Source organism: Homo sapiens, chromosome 22 (genome assembly GCF_000001405.40).
Source record: "Homo sapiens chromosome 22, GRCh38.p14 Primary Assembly".
Taxonomy (NCBI): domain Eukaryota; kingdom Metazoa; phylum Chordata; class Mammalia; order Primates; family Hominidae; genus Homo; species Homo sapiens.
Genome location: NC_000022.11, coordinates 45,191,641 through 45,210,411, shown reverse-complemented (window position 1 = coordinate 45,210,411; position 18,771 = coordinate 45,191,641). Strand labels below are relative to the sequence as shown.

The 18,771-nt window shown below is 56.4% G+C and overlaps 1 protein-coding gene and 1 non-coding gene across 3 annotated transcripts in view, besides 2 other annotated features; both read left to right on the top strand.

The window, feature by feature from the left end:
- The window catches only part of KIAA0930, a 48,651-nt gene extending 30,483 nt beyond the window's left edge, over window positions 1-18,168 (top strand). For both annotated transcript variants that reach the window (NM_001009880.2, NM_015264.2), the window contains exons 3-10: window positions 4,500-4,619; window positions 4,705-4,782; window positions 5,094-5,195; window positions 6,427-6,567; window positions 7,228-7,422; window positions 10,377-10,539; window positions 12,464-12,622; window positions 13,196-18,168. In NM_001009880.2, the coding sequence (NP_001009880.1) occupies window positions 4,500-4,619; window positions 4,705-4,782; window positions 5,094-5,195; window positions 6,427-6,567; window positions 7,228-7,422; window positions 10,377-10,539; window positions 12,464-12,622; window positions 13,196-13,236 (999 nt within the window). In that variant the 3' untranslated portion in view covers window positions 13,237-18,168. The remainder of the gene's footprint in view (window positions 1-4,499; window positions 4,620-4,704; window positions 4,783-5,093; window positions 5,196-6,426; window positions 6,568-7,227; window positions 7,423-10,376; window positions 10,540-12,463; window positions 12,623-13,195) is intronic.
- Window positions 7,941-8,085: an enhancer, noted in NCBI's record as "145 bp 22:45598280 sequence used in MPRA reporter constructs". NCBI's record gives its function as "activates a minimal TATA-containing promoter with rs78538621 allelic activity by MPRAs in UACC903 melanoma cells {active_cell/tissue: UACC903}" and the evidence as "EXISTENCE:reporter gene assay evidence [ECO:0000049][PMID:36423637]".
- Window position 8,013: a transcriptional cis regulatory region, noted in NCBI's record as "rs78538621 or 22:45598280 MPRA-significant variant associated with a GWAS melanoma risk locus at 22q13.31". NCBI's record gives its function as "allelic transcriptional activity by MPRAs in UACC903 melanoma cells {active_cell/tissue: UACC903}" and the evidence as "EXISTENCE:reporter gene assay evidence [ECO:0000049][PMID:36423637]".
- Window positions 9,393-9,458, top strand: MIR1249 (microRNA 1249). The gene has a single exon (NR_031651.1). It is a non-coding gene; the product is annotated as a microRNA 1249 (primary transcript).
- Window positions 18,169-18,771: the final 603 nt, after the last annotated feature.

Sequence of the window (18,771 nt, the reverse complement as noted above, 5' to 3'; positions counted from 1 at the left end):
CACTGCCCGTGACCCTCATGGCGGGCACAGGCTCCTCTCACCTCTGCACAGTTCTGGGGGAGGGACTCCTCTCACCCATGGGAACCGGAACTCGGAGGCTCAGGCCCTCTGTCGTCCCAGGGCTGTGGACCCCACCCCTGCCTCCGTCCACTGTGGCCTCTCAGCTTCTGCTGGAGTTCAGGTTGCAGAGAACTTTTCTCCCACCCCCAAATGTTGGTCTTTTCCCCAAGGCAGAGTCTGTTGCAAGCCAGGGCTCTAACGAGGACTTGGTGCATTTGAGACACTCTCAGCTGTACTTTGAATTTTGATTCCAGAGAGGTCACGACTCTGGTCAAGAGGGCAGACAGGGAGGTGGGAGGACGGGTTGTGTGCACCCTGGATAGGCCGGGGTAGGGGGAGGAGAAAGGAACGGCAGATGAGGGGTCCATCTTGGGTGGAGCAGAAGTTAAAGGTGAGAGCCCTCCACTGAGAAAGCGCAGCCCTGGATCTAGGCCTGAGGAATTTGGAGCAGAGGGGATGGGGTCACATCCAGGATCTGCTGAAAATTTGGGGGTGTCGAGGTCAGTGAGGGAAGCCTGAGTCCCACGGGAGCAGGTGGCAGTCCAGCTGTTTACATGCTAGAATGTTCTATTGAACACCCACTGTGAGCCATGTGCAGATGCCCCCCCACACTCAGTGCTGGGAGCACAGAAATGACTCATATCTGGCCTCAGTCTGTTTGGATAGACAGACGGTATGGCCAGTGCTATGGAGCCATCAGTGCTGTGATGGTGGGAAGAGGAGCAGGGCGGCGGTGGTGGGGGGAGTGCAGAAGGTGACATCTGGCGGGCGGGTTGTAGGACAGAGAGAGCGGGCAGCAGTGGGCTGAGGACACGCCCCGTGGAGGGACCAGTGAGTGCAGAGTGGGAGGGTGTGTGACGAGTGCCACATGGGACCTGCCAGACTAGGCCGATGGAGATTGCGGGGCCTGGTGGGTGGGTCCTGGGGCTGCCCCAACTTGGCATTTTTCCCAGCTTGTCGGGCTGCAGTGCTGAGGGTGGCCTGCAGGGGGCAGGCTGGAGGCGCTGATGGGGAGACGGGGAGACCCCCCCTGGCAAAAGCCCTGAGCGCTCGGTGGAGGTGGGGGACCCGCGGAGTCGCCTGCGCACTGCAAGTCCTCTGCGGGAGCCTGGCTACTTCCCGCCCCCTCCCCATGCCCATCCCGCTGGTACCCGGTTGCCATAGCAACCAGCCGGGCCTCCTGCACCTAGCAGGGGAGCGTGGATGGGCAGGAGCTGCAGTGTCAGGGGGACAGGATGCCAGGAACCCCGAGTGCTCCAGGGCCCAAGGGACATCCCCAGTCCAGCCTTTCCCAGGGAGGGATGTCCTGGATTCCCTGCCCTCTGTTTCCTCCAGCCCTGGACAAAACGCTCTGTGTTCCTGGGCAGCCCATTGTGTGCCTTTGGCAGGAGGGGGACCTGGCTCTGTGTGCTGCTGGCTCTGCGCTGGTGGCCGGAGCCCTGTGTCTCACGGTCACGTGACACCTCAGGATCCTAAGGTGCCGATCACCTTCACACCCACTCAGAAAACCAAAGCTCAGAGACGGGGAGGAAGCTTCCTGGGGTCACACAGTTTGCCAGCGGCGAAGCCCTGTCCCCAGTCTCACTTTTTCCTTTTTAGTAGATTGTTTTCAATATAACGTCTATACAGAAAAACACAGACGTGTACACAGTTTGATTCTTCTTAGACTGAACACCTGGTTTCACCAGCCCCCAGATACAGAGTGTGATGAGAACACCGAGGCCCCTTCACCCCACCCCAGGGCTCAACCTCCCCCTGGGCAGCTGCTGCTCTGTCTCCTCAAACTTCCCGGGCGGGTTCTGCCTGTTCTCACAGCTCCTGCATGTGGAGTCGGTGGGTTCTGCCTGTTCTTACAGCTCGTGCGTGTGGAGTCGGTGGTTCTGCCTGTTCTCACAGCTCCTGCGTGTGGAGTTGGGTTCTGCCTGTTCTCACAGCTCGTGTGTGTGGAGTTGGCGGGTTCTACCTGTTCTTACAGCTCGTGCATGTGGAGTCGGTGGTTCTGCCTGTTCTCACAGCTCATGTGTGTGGAGTCGGTGGTTCTGCCTGTTCTCACAGCTCATACATTGGAATCGGGCAGTATATGTTGTTTCAGGCTTCTTTCTCCGCATGTCATGTTTGTGAGTCATGCCTGTTGACACAGGTGGTTGTAATCTGGTCTCACTGCTGTGTAATGCCTGCAGAGTGTACCATGGCGGCCTGGCCACCCTCCTGTCAGTGGGTACCGGGCAGCTCCCAGTGTCCTCTTGGGCCTGGCTTTGGTGCGCACACGGACACCTTTCTGATGGGGAACCTGCTCTTTCGCCTGCCTGTGCTGTGGTGCTGCCCCGAACAGCCGTGTGATCGTGCCCCCGAGCCTTTCATTCACTGAGTCCACAGCGCTTTGCTGAGCAAAAGCAAATGAACAGGTCAATGAAGCGAGACCAGGAGGAACAGCAGAGTCTTGTGAACCCCAGGACTCTCAGCTCAGGGGCTCGGGGTGACTGCAGAACCATACAGGCGGTGGAAGTGGGGCCCCCCGACCCGGGGACGTCTGTTTCTCGCTCCTAGGCAAGGTTGGCCTCTTGCACCTCTTTCCATAGATCCCAGCTCTGCCTTTGGGGGGTGCAGGCCTGTGCACCTGCAAGAGGGCCCAGCAGTGCCCAGCCCCTCGGAGCCCGAGTCAGTGAGAGCACCCAGGACCGGGACCAGAGGCCCCCAGTCAGCACAGCTGCTTCAAAATTGAAAGCCAGGCTGGGCGCGGTGGCTCACGCCTGTAATCCCTGCACTTTGGGAGGCCGAGGTGGGTAGATCACTTGAGGTCAGGAGTTTGAGATCAGCTTGGCCAACATGGTGAAACCCCGTCTCTATTAAAAAAAAAAAAAAAAAATTACGTGTGGTGGCAGACGCCTATAATCCCAGGTACTTGGGAGGCTGGGGCAGGAGAATCACGTGAACCCAGGAGGTAGAGGTTGCAGTGAGCCAAGATTGTGCCACTGTACTCCAGCCCGGGTGACAAAGCAAGACTTCATCTCAAAAAAATAAAAAAATAAGAAATAAATTGAGGCCGGGTGCAGTGGCTCATGCCTGTAATCCCTGCACTTTGGGAGGCCGAGGTGGGTAGATCACTTGAGGTCAGGAGTTCGAGATCAGCCTGGCCAACATGGTGAAACCCCCTCTCTATTAAAAATACAGAAAAAAATTAGCCAGGTGTGGTGGCAGACACCTGTAATCCCAGCTACTTGGGAGGCTGGGGCAGGAGAATCACATGAACCCAGGAGGTAGAGGTTGCAGTGAGCCAAGATTGTGCCACTGTACTCCAGCCCGGGTGACAGAGCGAGACTCCGTCTCAAAACAATAAATAAGAAATAAATTGAGGCCGGGCACGGTGGCCCATGCTTGTAATCCCAGCACTTTAGGAGGCCGAGGTGGGCAGATCACCTGAGGTCAGGAGTTCGAGACCAGCCTGGCCAACATGGTGAAATCCTGTCTCTACCAAAAATACAAAAAGTAGACAGGTGTGGTGGCACGTGCCTGTAATCCCAGCTACTCAGGAGGCTGAGGCAGGAGAATCATTAGAATCCAGGAGGCGGAGACTGCAGTGAGCCAAGATGTGTTGCACTGTAGCCTGGGTGACGGATGGAGTGAGATTCTGTCTCAAAAAAAAAAAAAAATTGGAAGCCAGTCTCCCAGGAGAGGTGTAGACATGCTTTGGTTTCTCTCTGATATGTATTTATTATTGATCTTCAGTAAATTTGACTCTGATCTGTTAACATGGGGCTAATGATACCTGCATTGCAGGGTTGCTTTAAAAGGATTAATAATTTGTAAAATGTGTAGCCCAGACCCCGCCGTCCACTAAGAGCTCAGTAGGTGTCACTATTATCATTGATGCCACTTAGCAAATATGAGCTCTTTAAATCATTATGACAACTTTGAGGGGAAGATGCCCTTAGTCCATTGTACAGATGAAGAAACTGAGGCTTAGTGAGGAGAATGGATGGCCCCTGGGTCCCATCTCCCGTCGCTAGAGAACTGGGGAGCAAGAATTGGAGTTCTGGCCGGGCATGGTGGCTCACACCTGTAATCCCAGTACTTTGGGAGGTCGAGGCAGGAGGATCACCTGAGCCCAGGAGTTCAAGACCAGCCTGGACAACATGGCGAAACGCCACATCTACAAAAAGTTTTAAAAATTAGCCGGGTGTGGTAGCACGTGCCTGTGGTCCCTGTTGCTTGGGAGGCTGAAGTGAGAGGATCATTTGAGCCCAGGAGGTTGAGGCTACAGTGAGCTGTCATTGCACCACTGCTCTCTAGCCTGGGCAGCGGTGTGAGACCCTGTCTCAAAAAATAGTAAGAAAAAAGAATTGGAGTCCTTGTCCATCGTAATGCCTGCATAGTAGTCAGGGAAGAAGAAGAGCACCACAGTGGGCCCTGGGCACTCACTTCTGCTCTGGGCCTCGCAGGCAGCTGAGCCTGAGGTGGAGGTGGAGGTGTACCGGCGGGACTCCAAGAAGCTGCCAGGCCTGGGAGACCCTGACATCGACTGGGAGGAGAGCGTCTGCCTGAATCTCATCCTGCAGAAGGTATGGGGTGGGATGGGTGGGGCTGCGGATTGGCCCTGTGGGATGGCTGACCCCTCCCTGCACGCTGACCCGTGCTCTCTTCCAGCTGGACTACATGGTGACCTGTGCGGTGTGCACACGTGCTGACGGCGGGGACATTCACATCCATAAGAAGAAATCTCAGGTGAGCCCTGGCACGAGAGCCCCCAGCCTCCTAACTGCCAGTTCAGGCTGGGCGTGGCAGAGAGAGACAAGTCCTCCTGCTTGCTTCTCTGCCCTGGAGGTGAGGGGTCTGACTCCAGAAATCTGCTCAGCTCCTGGGATCCCGTATCCCATTCGAGGAGCACAGAACCAGCTTATCCCCCACATCTCCTGGTAGGTCTCTGGCTTTGGACTGGCTCTGGGCCGGGTGGCCTCCCTATACTGGCTTGGACTGGCTCTGGGCCTGTGTGCCGGGTGGGGCCTCACTTGTCCTCCAAATCTGCTTTCTTCCAGCAAGTGTTCGCGTCCCCCAGTAAACACCCCATGGACAGCAAGGGGGAGGAGTCCAAGATCAGCTACCCCAACATCTTCTTCATGATTGACAGCTTCGAGGAGGTGAGCTCTGCACAGGGCCTCTCTCCTTAGCTTCCCCTTCTCGTGAGATGGGTGTTAGGCGCTTCTCCCCGCGGCCTTAGCCTTGCAGAAAGGCATGGGTGGCTTGGAGCCGGGAAGAGTCCGGCTGAGGCAGATGTGGCTCTCTCTCTTCCCAGTGTTTGCTTGTGGGCAGGTGAATTTCCCCGGCGCAGCCTCCGTTTCCTCCTCTGTAAAATCAGTGTCATGATCATCTGTCCTACTTACTGTCAGGGCTGAAGACTAAAAGGCTCCTGAGTGGGAGGACGCCTCATAAACTCTTGCAAGAAGCACTGCCCGGGCGGGAGGAGCCATTATTAATGCTAGTAAATGATAAAGAAGCGCCTCCACGCCTGCACTGACTTGGAATCCTAGGATGTCAAAGAGGGATGGGGTTTCCGGAGTTATCTGGGCCAAGCCTTTGTTTTAAGGTTTGGGAAACGGGCTTGGGCAGAAGGAGACTCACCGAGAAACACAGGGCACTGGGAGGGCGGGGAGGGAGCCGGTCGCAGCTCACTCCCTGCTCTGCCCATTTGTGTCTCTCCTCTGTTGAGGCCCTGGTCGGGGTCCTTGTGCGCATCCAAGGTGCTCAGGGCCCTGAGGACTTAGGAGGAAGGCGTGGGCGTCTGCAGGAAAATCGCAGGCTCAGGGAGGTCATGTCCCCTCCCCAGGCACACGTAGCTCCTAGAGGGCAGAGCTGAGATTTGCGTCTAAGTCTTTGTGGCCTCGGAGCTCACAGTCTGTGCACCAGGTCCTGGGAGCAATGACTCGGGAAGGTGGCAGGATGGGGCCTGTGGCACCTTAGTCTGGTGTTGTCACCCCAGGTGGGCAGTCACCCTGCCACCACACTGAGCCTTTGGCCACACAGGAGCCTCAAAGATGTGGCAGGCAGGGCTGGGCACCCCTAGGCGGTGTGGAGGGGCCCAGACGGTGGCTGACGGTCCTGGTGAACCGTGATGAGGGTGTGCGTCTTCTGCCAGTCCCAGAGTCTCCGTAAGCGTCCCTGTCCTCCCCTGCTGCTCAGCCCCTGCCCCAGTGTGAGGCTGTTCTTGTCCTGTGGGGCTCGGAGGGCATGGGGCCACAGGAGTGTGTGACAGCCGGTTGTCCCCTGCAAAATGGGGTTTTCTGAGCAGCCCTCCCTGCCAGTTGGGCCAGGCTGTGGTGTGGGCGGTGGGAGCTGATGGTCACGTCCCTGTCTCTTTGTGTCCTGGCCCAGGTGTTCAGCGACATGACCGTAGGGGAAGGAGAGATGGTCTGTGTGGAGCTGGTGGCTAGTGACAAAACCAACACGTTCCAGGGGGTCATCTTTCAGGGCTCCATCCGCTACGAGGCGCTCAAGAAGGTGTATGACAACCGGGTGAGTGCGGGGCGGCCTCACGGGTGTTCTTCTGGGCCCGGGGACGGCGGCTCCACAGCCCACCGTGGTCCATACCATGGGGCCCCCCAGCCTGCTTGTGCATGGTAGCGGCCGCCAGGGGTACCTGCAGCCCCTCCGGGCTCCTTCTAGGCGCTCCCTGGTCCTCTTAACGTCATTCTTCATGGTCGGCCTCAGCCCATGCGGGCCACTTGCCTTCATCTGAAATGTGAGCGGGAACTTCCTCCTCAGTCTCTAGTTCCCTGGGAAGTGATGGCTGATGGTGTCGCTGTCACCTCCTCACTGTCACTTGCTTCCTGCGACTGGCCCTGGGAGTGCTCCGAGTCGCCCCCAACTAAGCAAGCAGATGTGGGCAGGCCCCTCTCCCCCAGCGGGCACCATCCGCAGCCAGCCTTGCTGCCAGCCTGGGGCCCTGTCCTCAGCCTGGTCCGTGGTTCATGGGGCGGTGGGAGGGGCACCAGGAGGGGCACCAGGCAGAGATGTGGGTCCATTCCAGCTGCCCCGCCTGCCAGCTCAGACGCTCCCTCCCGGGCAGCCCCCGCTCCTTGAGGGATGGTCGCCCTGGCTGTTCATGTCCTGGGGAGGGGCCCCATGGAGCCATCGCCACCTCCCTGACTCAGGCTGCCCCGCGCCGGCCCCCAGGTGAGCGTGGCCGCCCGCATGGCACAGAAGATGTCGTTTGGCTTCTACAAGTACAGCAACATGGAGTTTGTGCGCATGAAGGGCCCCCAGGGCAAGGGCCACGCCGAGATGGCGGTCAGCCGAGTGTCTACAGGTGACACATCCCCCTGTGGGACTGAAGAGGACTCCAGCCCAGCTTCGCCCATGCACGAGCGGGTAAGGGCTGCACAGCTGGGGGCGGGGGCTCCCATCCGTCAAGTTCACTTTCCACCGTCTCCCCCGTGCTCACGGCCCCCTGGGGACATAGGTGTTGTCATCCCCAACCACCAGTGCGCAGGCCGAGGTGCCGAGCGTGCGGAGGCCCGGACCACCCAGCCCTTCTCTTTGCCTAGCGGTTTGTAGGAGGCACTGCCGCAGGGGAGGCGTTCCTGCCTTGCAGACCTGGAGGGCTGTGCCTGGCCAAGGTCACACCGCAGGCTGGTGCTGGGCCAGAGCTCTTTCTGCCTCCCTGAGATGCCACAAAGCCAGGCTGAGTCCACAGAGCCAGTGGGCAGAAGAGACTGGCTGGGGACCCAGGCCCGGCCCTGGCGCCTGCCTGGGTGGACCTGCTGGGTGAGCGTGGGCACGTGGCCGGCCTTCCCCGGTGAGTCAGATGGGGATGATGGTGACTGAGGGTCAGCCAGCGCATGCAGAGGCCTAGGCCACCCAGCTCTTTGCCCCGCGGTTTGTAGGAGGTTCTGCTGCAGGAGAGGCGTTCCTGCCTCGCACAGCCGGAAACCAGACTTGCCAGCTTGCCCCAGGTCACAAGGTCTCTTGGGATAGCACTGGGCTTGGGGCCCTGCTCTGCCTAGGCCACTCTCCTTCCCCAGGGCGGGAGGCTGAGGTCAGCAGCAGCTTTGTTCCCAGAAGCCTTTGGTGGGGCACAGGCAGGAGAAGGTCTCCAGCCCACTGGCTGCTTTGCTCTACCTGGTTCTTCCAGAGGGACTGCCCAGAGCTGTAGTTCTTGGAAGAGTACAGGTGTGCTGGGCAGGGGGGTGCCCTTGGCACAGGTCCAGGGGCAGTCTTGCCCAGCCATTGTCCAGGAGAGACGCCACCCACAGCCAGAATCCTGCTCTGCTGCTCTCATAACCTTGGGTGTGTCTCTTTTCCTCTCCAAGCCTCAGTTTTCTCATCTAGAAACAGGGCACGAGGATACCTGCTCCTTCAGTATTTGGGAGGCTTTGAGGAATCCGGGGCTTGGCCCTCAGGAGGATTCCCAGGTGGCAGCTGCAGTAGTTGCTGTTGACCTACTTGGAAAGCAGAGGCGTGGGAATGTAAACGATGCATTACCGCAGGCATGCCTGAGATGAGGGAGTGTGCGTTTGTTATACTTTTAGTTCGAGAAAGATCTGAATCATGCATATCTCCGGGTGGTCAGATGTTGGTTTTCTTTCTCTTCTGTATATCTTTTTTTGGGGGGGAGGTATCTTCTGCAATGAATGTGTTTTGCAAGCCAAAGACAGCAAGTGCTATTTTTTGCAAAGATGGGTGAGAATTCCAGGCAGGGGCCTCTCTTGTCTTTGGAATGAGGTGGTTTATATTTCTGAGTTTGTTTCCGAGATAAAGGGCCTGGTTCTTCTCCCTGGTCCTAAATTATGCCCTGGGACTCTGACAAAATGTGTGTGTGAAAGTCCTTACGAAGATGTGGCCCGAGCTCTGGGCTGGACAAACCCGGGTGCCACCTCCAGCCACAGCCTGAGGGCTGAGTGACTACAGGTCACTAGACCTGCCTGAGCCTTGGTTTTCCCATCTGTCCAGCGGGAGTGGCTGTGAGGGGTGTGAAAGTCCCTGGTGCCTTAGCAGCTGGGCAGCCCTGGGATTCAGGAGGAGGGATGTGCTAGGGTCACACAGGGTCAGCAGCAGGGCTGGCCCCTGGGGACTGCCGCCTGTGCGCCTGCTATTACCTGTCTCCTTCTCTGGCGGGGTCGTCTGGAGCCAGTGCGTGACACATGCTGACTCTGTGTATTGTGGTTGCTGCTGTTTGTTTCTTTTATCTTTTAAAAACCTTCCCCGGCTTGTGGGAACACCGTCTGGAGCCCAGCAGCTGCCAGGACTTTGGTGGATGTCGGAGCCGTGACGAGGAGGCTGACGGGGCTCCCGAAGTCTCAGTCCCAGCTCATCCTGCTCCTCAGATTATTGTTGGCATGGGGAGGAGGGAGGAGATGGGCCAAGTTCCCTCTGGCTGGAACGCCCTTCCCCCCCTTCTTCACCTGGCGAACTCCTACTCGTCCTTCAAGACCCAGCTCCAGCGGCATCTCCTCCAGGAAGCCTTCCCTGATTTCCCAGGCTGTGGATCCCTTTTGCCTCTGTGCTTCATGTATCCTGTGCTTCTCTTTCTCTGTCTCCACAGCCAGCATGCTGTCTATGGTTGTCACTCTCTGAGTCTGTCACCCCAGCAGACTGTGAGCTCCTTGAGGGCAGGGACCTGCAATGTGCCTGTCTGTCCTTAGTGCTGTGCCTGCCTGGCCCTGAGTGGGTGTGAATGTTTGGTGAACAGAACCAAACGTGATTAGAAGTGGGGAGAAGACAGAGGCATAGAGCTACTTAGCACAGTATTTCCTGTGAAGGGTGCTGGGAATGAGAGGGATGGGGCCACGTCAGCCCTGAGAAGTAGGATGAGGAGCGTGGCCCTGGGGGACAGAAGACAGGGCTGCTGCCGTCCTGCTTGGTGACCACAGGCAAGCCAGGGTCTCGGTCCCTGCCTTAGTTTCCCCATGTGTCAGATGGGCTGACGCTAGCCCCTGTCTCACGGAGCTGGAGGCTCAGAGGGTCTGTGTGTGGGGCCAGTGCTCACTCAGCGTCAGCAGCTGTTGTTACTTTGTGCTTGAACACCCCCTACCCACTGTTTGAGGCCCAGAGGAGGGGGGTCTTTCTGCCATTTGCGGCAGCAGCCTGGCCCCTCCTCGGGTAGCACTGGTGGCCAGGTGTCCTGCTGGCCCCTGGGCTGGAACGCATCTTCCAGTCTCTAGGCCCCACCTAGCACGGGCCGGCTGGGCCTGGGTCCTCCTGGGCCAGCGGCCTCTTCCCTGGGAGCTGTGTCAGGTTGTTTGAGGGTGGGATAGGAGGGGCGTTGGGACCCCCGGGGAGGGGGCTGTTCTGCTACTCTGGTGACTTTGGCTGCTTGTTCCCAGGTGACCTCCTTCAGCACACCCCCCACCCCAGAACGGAACAACCGGCCTGCCTTCTTCTCCCCATCCCTCAAGAGGAAGGTGCCCCGGAACCGGATCGCTGAGATGAAGAAGTCGCACTCGGCCAACGACAGCGAGGAGTTCTTCCGGGAGGACGACGGTGGAGGTGACCCCCCACTCCGTGCCCTAGGGTCCCCGTGCCCTTCAGTCTCTTCTTGATCCAGACCAGTCATTCATTCATTTATTCATTCATTCATTTGTTCATTCAGCAGCACTTAGAGAGTGGGTGCCATGTGCCAGGCAGCCCTCCAGGAGCTGAGGGGTAGAGCTGGGGACAGGCAGAAATGGCTGCCTCTGGGGGTCCCGTCCTGGTGGGCTCAGGCGTCTCCTTGGCAGAGTGCTTGGAGCGCAGATGTGCAGCAGTTGGTCAGTTTCAGGGGATTTCCCACCTTTCTAAGGCTTTTCAGCCTGCTTAAGGAAGAAAGCGGATGGGTGATCTGATGGCTCCGCACACACGGGGTGTGGCGGGAGAGAGGAGGGCTTCCCTCCCTTGCGCTGCCTTGGGCCAGCTCGCCCTCAGGGTGAGGCCTGGCCCTCCTGGCTCTGTGCAGCCTCCCAGAACCACGTGCTCTTTGGTGACACAGTCGCCACCTCGTGCAGCCTACCCCCGGGGCCTTCCTGTGCCCCTGTCCCCTGGACTCCGGTTGTCTGTATCTGGGTGTTACCATGCCCCTTAGTCCTGCCCAGGCACAGTCTGCACTCTCTCCTGAGCACCCGTGCCTGCTCCCTGTCCTCGCTCAGTGACCTTCCAGAATACAGGAGTTGTTCCCAGAGCCCCCAGGGAGGCCTCTGAGGGGTTTTAAGCAAGGGAGTGACACAATCAGATTAGCATATTTAAAATGCCACTCAGCAGTCTCTGTGGGAAATGGCTCCTGGGGACAGGCGTGGCCGTCACAGACAGGTTGGGAAGTTCTGCCATGCTCTGCTGGCATGGACCACGTGCCTTCCTCACTGTCATCCTCAGGACCCAGCGGGCGCCTGGCTCCGCACTGTGTGCGTGTCTGTTGAGTGTATGGAAGTGAAGGATTGGCCAGGCACAGTGGCTCACCCCTGTAATTCCAGCACTTAGCGAGACCGAGGCGGGTGGATCACCTGAGGTCAGGAGTTCGAGACCAGCCTGGCCAACATGGTGAAACCCTGTCTCTACTAAAAATACAAAAAATTAGCCGGGCATGGTGGTGGGCGCCTGTAATCCCAGCTACTCAGGAGGCTGAGGCAGGAGAATCTCTTGAACCTGGGAGGCAGAGGTTGCGGTGAGCCGAGATCGTGCCACTGCACTCGAGCCTGGGCAAGAGTGAGATTCCATCTCAAAACAAACAAAAAAAAACGACGTGAAGGATTCGCTGACAACTCCCACTGAGCACCTCCCCCAGCAGGGAGCAGGGCTGCAGCATTGATCAGAAGAGGTGGCAGTCTTTGTCCTGACCACTGGGACCAAGAAGCAGGGGTGTCCCACCTGCTCAAGGCCCTGGCCTGGGTCAGGGACTCCAGCACTGGCCTCGACCTGCTCTTGTGTGAACTTGGGCAAGCCCCTTCCCCACCTGGGCCCGTTCCCGAATCAGTAAGAAGTACTGATCACTGCCCTAGTCTGCCTCTCTGGGGCAGGTTCCCCCAGCCTGGACCGCAGGACTGGGTAATGGTGCAGGTCGGCTCAGCCTTGCTGCTCCCATGCTCTGCAGGTGGCGGTGCCTAGTTCCAGGGACAGGGCCTGCAGAAGCAGAGAATTACACAGTGTGTGTGCCAGAACCCCCGGAGGAGACTAAGCTTGTGACAGAGAAGAGAGAGATGAGGGGGGTGGCCAAAGTCTTCCTGGAGTTGGAGGCCTGGGTCTGGGCCAGAGGAAGCAGGGAGGGGTGTTACAGGCGAGGAGGCAGCAGCTCTGGAGCGTGTGGGTGCTGGTGTGGGGGTGTTGGTAAGGAGCGTCCTGGCCTCAGCAGAGTTTGGCCTCAGCCTGGACTGGGAGCTGGCCTCCTGCTGCTCCCGCCGCGTCCCATGCTGTGGGGGCCTTGACCTGGCCTTCTTTCCTCCAGCCGATCTGCACAATGCAACCAACCTGCGGTCTCGGTCCCTGTCGGGCACAGGACGGTCCCTGGTCGGGTCCTGGCTGAAGCTGAACAGAGCAGATGGAAACTTCCTTCTCTATGCACACTTAACCTACGTCACGTTGCCGCTGCATCGGATTTTAACAGGTAATGCTGGCGGATGTGGGGAAGCAGCCGCACCTTCTCACAGCCAGCTCTGCCTCCAGGGCCTTGGTACTTGTGAGCCACCCGGAGTCATCCCGCCCTGTCCTGTCGGTTGGTTGGGTTTCTTTGCAGGGCTCTTGGCCTCTTTGTCTCAGACTTTGGGTGGAGCCGTAGCTTTCCCAGAGCTGAAGTCCTCCCTTTGTTCACCTTTCTGGCGCACCTGCTGTCCCCTCTTGAGTGGCCACAGATGCCCAGGTGTGTGTTACTCACGGGCGAGGGGAGGCTCTCAGGCCACCTCGCTGACCCAGGCCTGCAGCAGCTGTGACAGGCAGTGGCTCTGGCCCCCACACCAGCTTGCACCTGAGGCCCTGCAGGGTGTGCCGTTGCTGCGAGCCCATTTCCCAGTCTGCAGGGTGAGGATGGTGGAGACACGTCTCCTCTGCAGTCTGTGAGGCCTGGAGAGGAGATGCATGAGTGGCTGAGGCGGGCTTCCTTCAGAAGTGGCACTGCCGTGACCATAGCACTCACCGCTGTTGAGGGTTACTGTTTCACCTGCTTCCCTCCTGCCGGCCCTAGACATCCTGGAAGTTCGGCAGAAGCCCATCCTGATGACCTAGCCGCGTGCGGAGCCTGCGCAGAGCCCCGGCCGGGCCCAGCCCTCGGAGTGCTGCCAAGTGCCTACCTGTCCACCGCCACCGGGGTCTGCGATGGCACGCCAGTGCTGGAGCCGCAGCCAGGCGAGGCCACTCGACTCCCGGGGCCGGGGCCGACTCCACGAACACCAGCCCAAACTGAAGTGCCTCTTCCCTCCCCTGCTGGCGCTGCTCCGCCCTGTGCCCCCCGCCCATCGCCCCCCACCCATCTCTGGAGAGCCCTCTGCACCCAAAGAGGACTAGAGATGCCGAGCGGCCATGAGAGAGAGCGGAAGGAGCAGCTGATGCCCAGAGCGGGGCCAGAGCGGCGGGTCTATGTTCACGTCCCCCCAGCAGCAGGCGGAACCACCCAGCCAGGGCACTCAGTGCATTGGACTGTCCACATGTTCTTGAGGAAAGCCGGTGGAAGATTCTGGAATGCCGTGCGGATGAACTTCAGCACCCGAGTCAGTCCCAGCTCATCCTCCCCAGTTTACCACTTTGTTCTAATAGGAGATGGGAACACGAGAAGTTTGATGGCTTTGCCCTGGGCTGGGAATACCTCACCCACGCCCAGTTCCAGAAAGGCCTCCAGCTGAGCAGACGGCCCCGATCCCGCCAGAACGGCCTTTTGCTTCCAGCCAAAGAACACCGCCAACACGCACACCTCCAACCTGGGACATCCCACGCTGGGCCTCGCACGGAGGAACCTGCAGAATTTGGATTCTGAGGGTAGTCGGGAGGCCTCGGTAGCCAGGCAGAACAGGATATCTGCCAAAGGGTGTCTGATGTGGGGTGGGGCTGGCATCCTCCCAGGAAGGTTCTAGGTGGGACCCCGTCTTCTGGGGGCGGGGGTGTCTTTTCATCTTCCCTGGTTTCCTAGAACTCACTTCCTTTGACGGCGTGTGTTGGTCCCATCTCTCAGACCAGCTCACTGAGGCAGAGGAGTTGCTCAGAGGCTCACATGGGCACCCCCATTGGTTCGTGTGAGCAGCTGCCCAGCCCCAGGCCTGCCCTCGGCCTGGTCCAGCATGAAGGCGTTTCCATCTGCAAGGATGCACGGTACCCTCCCCGAGAGCAGGCCTGTCCCCTACCCAACTGGGAATAAACTGGAAGCTGGGTCTCTTTGTTGCTATGTTTTTTTGTTTGAAGTTCCCAGGAATATTTGAGGGGTTCCGGTGATGTGTTTAGGGATCTTCTCTGTGGGGGAAAAGGAAGAGGAGGGTCTTGTTCTCCCATCTGTTTATTCTTTGGGCTCTGGGAACAGGGGACTACTTTGGGGCTTTCTCCAGACTTTTGTATGTTGTTATTAAAAGCGAGCTATTGCATTTCATTCTGCCTCAGTTTGCCCACCTGTGAAATGGGGCTGATACCACCTACCTCACTGAAGTCCCAGGGTTCAAGTGTGTGGCTGGGTCAGGGCGTGGTCACCCGTCATTCTGCATAGGTCGGGTTGGATGTTAGACTCCTGGGATGCCCTCCTCCCCCTCGCCCTTTGTAATAACCTAATCTGAGACCGTGCTTGGTGGGGGGATGTGAACTTTCTCTCTCCCCCAGCAGTGTCTGCTCAGGCCTGACAGCTCAGCTCTGCACGATTTCATGTTCCTAAACCCATGTCTTAGGGCAGCACAGAGCCAGGTCATGTCATGCCCCAAAGTGTGGGGACAGAGCCTCAGGGAGCCCCGAGCATGGTCCAGCCCCATTTGAGTGCTCTCCGGGGATGCCAAATGCTGCTTCCAAGTTTGAGTCCATGTGGCTAAAATACACCCATTTCTTCAGGAACTCTTCCCCTGGTTGTTCTGGGGATCTTGGGAGAAACACAGCCCTGACAGCTCGTCCGTGGGAAGATGAGGCAGTCCAGGTTGTGAGGAGCACAGCGGCCCGCCCTCTGTTCTCAGAGGTGAGGGGCGGGAGAAGGTTGTCTCCTCTGGGGCCAGCATTTGGCCAAGCTCGGAGGCTTGGCCAGCACTGCTGGATGGCTCAGAGCAAGCTGGGCTCCCCGTCTGTAAGATGGCAAAAATGCTGCCCCCCTCACAGGGTGACCATGAGGACCAGTCACAGTGATGTGTGAAAGGGCTCGCTGGTCACAGAAACGTGTACAAATCATGCTATTTTAGAGATCAGCCCTCAATTTGTAAGGCATGTGAACAGGGCACGCGGTGGGCTGGTGGTTTCATAGCCGACACACAGCGCCTACCATGTGCAGCTGCCTGTCCGACCCCATCTTACAGACGAGAAAACCAGCACACAGGCACCAAGGAACTGTCCGGAACTAACAGCAGGGGCCGGCGATGGGAGTCAAACCCAGGCACGCGGCCTGGCCTGCATGCTGAGCCACATGGTGCTGTCCGGACAGATGGACAGACACTCGGTGGAGTCTGCCTTTCTCAGGCCCTAAATCCCTCTCCAAAGGGTACTTGCGATGCCGGATTTAAAACTTGCTCAGAGCCACTTAGCCACTTGAGAACCAGACAGTAAGGTGTTACTCCCAGGTTTGTTTTTCCAAAGTAACAGATGACATGTGGAATAAAGTAATAGAGTAACAAGTGGCAGGGCCAGAACCAGGGTCCCCAAAGTCCTGGTGTTGGCACATTTGTACTTCTTGTAAGACCATCTTTAATTTTTCTGGGAACACACCTGCCTTTTGTGTAATGCGGGGAAGACTAATGCATGGTGACACCTAGTTTTCCTCAACAGGACACTTGATCCCAAAACCCCTTTAAGACCTTAGGTTTCCTCAGCGGAAAACTGTACTTTAATCCCAAACCCCCTTTAAGACATATTGGGGCTGGGCGCAGTGGCTCACGCCTGTAATCCCAGCACTTTGGGAGGCTGAGATGGGTGGATCACCTGAGATCAGGAGTTCAAGACCAGCCTGACTAACATGCTGAAACCCCATGTCTACTAAAGATAGAAAAATTAGCTGGACATGGTGGCAGGCACCTGTAATCCCAGCTACTCGGAAGGCTGAGGAAGGAGAATCACTTGAACCTAGTAGGCAGAGGTTGCAGTGAGCCGAGATCACGCCATTGCATTCTAGCCTGGGCAACGAGAGCGAAACTCTGTCTCAAAAAAAAAAAAAAAAAAAAAAAAAAAAAAAAAAAAAAAGATACATTGGTCTTTAAACCCAAACCCCCTTTAAGGCATGTTGGTCTCAAGGGGATTTGGGATTGAAGCACAGCTTTCTGTTGAGGAAACCTAGGTGTCACTTTTTAGAACATTAAAAAGAAAGTTGTAGGGTGGGCTTTTCCATTTAAAGGAATGTGATGATCCTAGGTTCTGATGAGTGATAGGTGGTCTCCGTTTATACCCTTTCTTCTTTTGGCACCTGTAAGTTCCGGTAGTGGCCATCTTACATTCTCATGTCCTGCTGGAAGTGCCTAGTTGCCTGCAAAGCCAGCTAAGGCTTATTATTTCAAAAGAAGATTATTTAAAACATGAGTGACAGGTAGTCAGAAGAGAACAAAAGGACGCAAGATACTCTATAGCCAAGTCAGCTTGGAGGCAGGATGGGTTGCTGAGTGAAGTCGCCGCTCACTTTTGGATTCTTATGGACTGTGAGTTAGTCTTCCCTCTACACGGAGTCACAGGAAGGGTATAAATGCATGTTCCTGAGGTGCCCTCCCCCAAAGAATGTACCTGCACTCAAACCAGGATCTGTTTTTGCTGTTTTAATCATAAATAGACTAGTTAGTAGAAGACTTTTGAAGAACAAAGTAAAACTTTTTTTTTTCATTAAAAGATGTCCCAGAGGAAAGGCCCTGTGCAGCCAGTATATTCTAATGACTGCCTGGACCATGTCCTAATATGGTGGTTTTAAGTTGTTGGCCAAAATCCTTTAAAGACATACGAAACATCTGCCAACTTTTTAGCGAACTTAACAGGTTTCACTGACGTTTTCCTCAATTTTTGAATTTAGGTGGGATTTGCTTTCATGTCCTGTTTCAAAAACCAAGTGTCTCTTGACAGCCCACTGGTTCTTCCTGTCCTCTTGCTCTAGTCTGTATCAGAAAGCAGAATGACTGTACTTTTGTTTTACAAACAACCACCTGATAGGACGGACACTCCACGAGATAAGGAAAGGCACGTGCCCTTGAGCTTGAATGGAAGCAGCCTCTGGAGGGGGCAGCCACTGCCCTTCGAGGGAGAGCAGCTCTTCAGCAGTGGCCAGAGTGCCACGTGACTCTGCAGATGACCCCTGGGAGCCGGGTGATGGGCACCTGCTGGGGCTTTTGTTTTTTCTTTTTCACTGGCTGGCTTGATCCTCAGTGGCAAAAGGACCCCTGAGCCCCTTCTCCGAGCCCTGGAGCACTCCTCGGGACACCGAGTGGCCTCAGGGCTGGGTTCAGAGCTCCTCCCGCAGGGGGAGCCTCAGAAGTGGAGGCAGCTGCTGATGGGTGAGTTTACAACTTCTTATCCTGCCTAAGGCGAGTAGGCGTTTTTATTCCGTTTCCAGTCCTTGAGCTCAGCAGATCAAAATAACAGTGACCCTGCAACCCCACAGAGCCCGCGACACGCTCGCTTTCTTCCCCGCCCTGCCCCTTTAGTCCCCGCTCTGGAAGGCCAGGCAGTTTAGGTGTAAATAGGTATCTTTTATGGTTTCCAAATGAATTATTTGTGTGAGAGTAATTAAATCTGTAAGAAAACCTGTTGAGATTCTTCACTATGAATTATGACTTCTACAACATGTATTTTAGCAAAAACACGATGCTGGCCTCCACTGGATAGCTCAGTATGCTGATTGCCAGTGATAGTTCTGTACGCGTTACCAACAGCGTCTTTATTAACCCTCTTCCACATCCAGTGGAAATCATTGCTAGGCGGTATTTGTTGGTTGGCTGTTAGCTTTGCTTTATGATTTCATGTTTCTTTTAAAGGTTGTTTTGCATGTTGAATATTAAATTTTTTTTTTCTGTGTCTTCCTCTAATCTTTTTCTGTAATGGGAATTTCAGGGTAAATACAGATATTATAGCAAAGCAATAATTTAATGATTGAAACTTAATTTGCCCCCAGTGATTCCTGAAACTTTTTTTGGAGCTTTCACACAAACTACTTTTTTGAACTAGAGTGTGTTGGAGGCAGAGAAAAATCACCCTGTGTGCTGGCTTTGCCTGCCGTGAGCCAGTGAGGAGTCCGAGAAGAGGTGGGCAGGTCAGTGATGGGTTTGGCCAGAGATGCCATATTTGCAGTATTAAATCATTTCAAGATGCATTTCAAGGCCTGGCACGGCTCACGCCTGTAATCCCAGTGCTTTGGGAGGCCGAGGCGGGCAGATCACTTGAGGTCAGGAGTTCGAGACCAGCCTGGCCAACATATGGTGAAACCCCCATCTCTACTAAAAATACAAAAATTAACCGGGCGTGGTGATGTGCACCTGTAGTCTCAGCTACTTGGGAGGCTGAGGCAGGAGAATCGCTTCAACCCAGGAGGCAGAGGTTGCAGTGAGCCAAGCTCATACTACTGCGCTCCAGCCTGGGTGACAGAGACTCCATCTCAAAAAAAAAAAAAAAAAAAAAAAA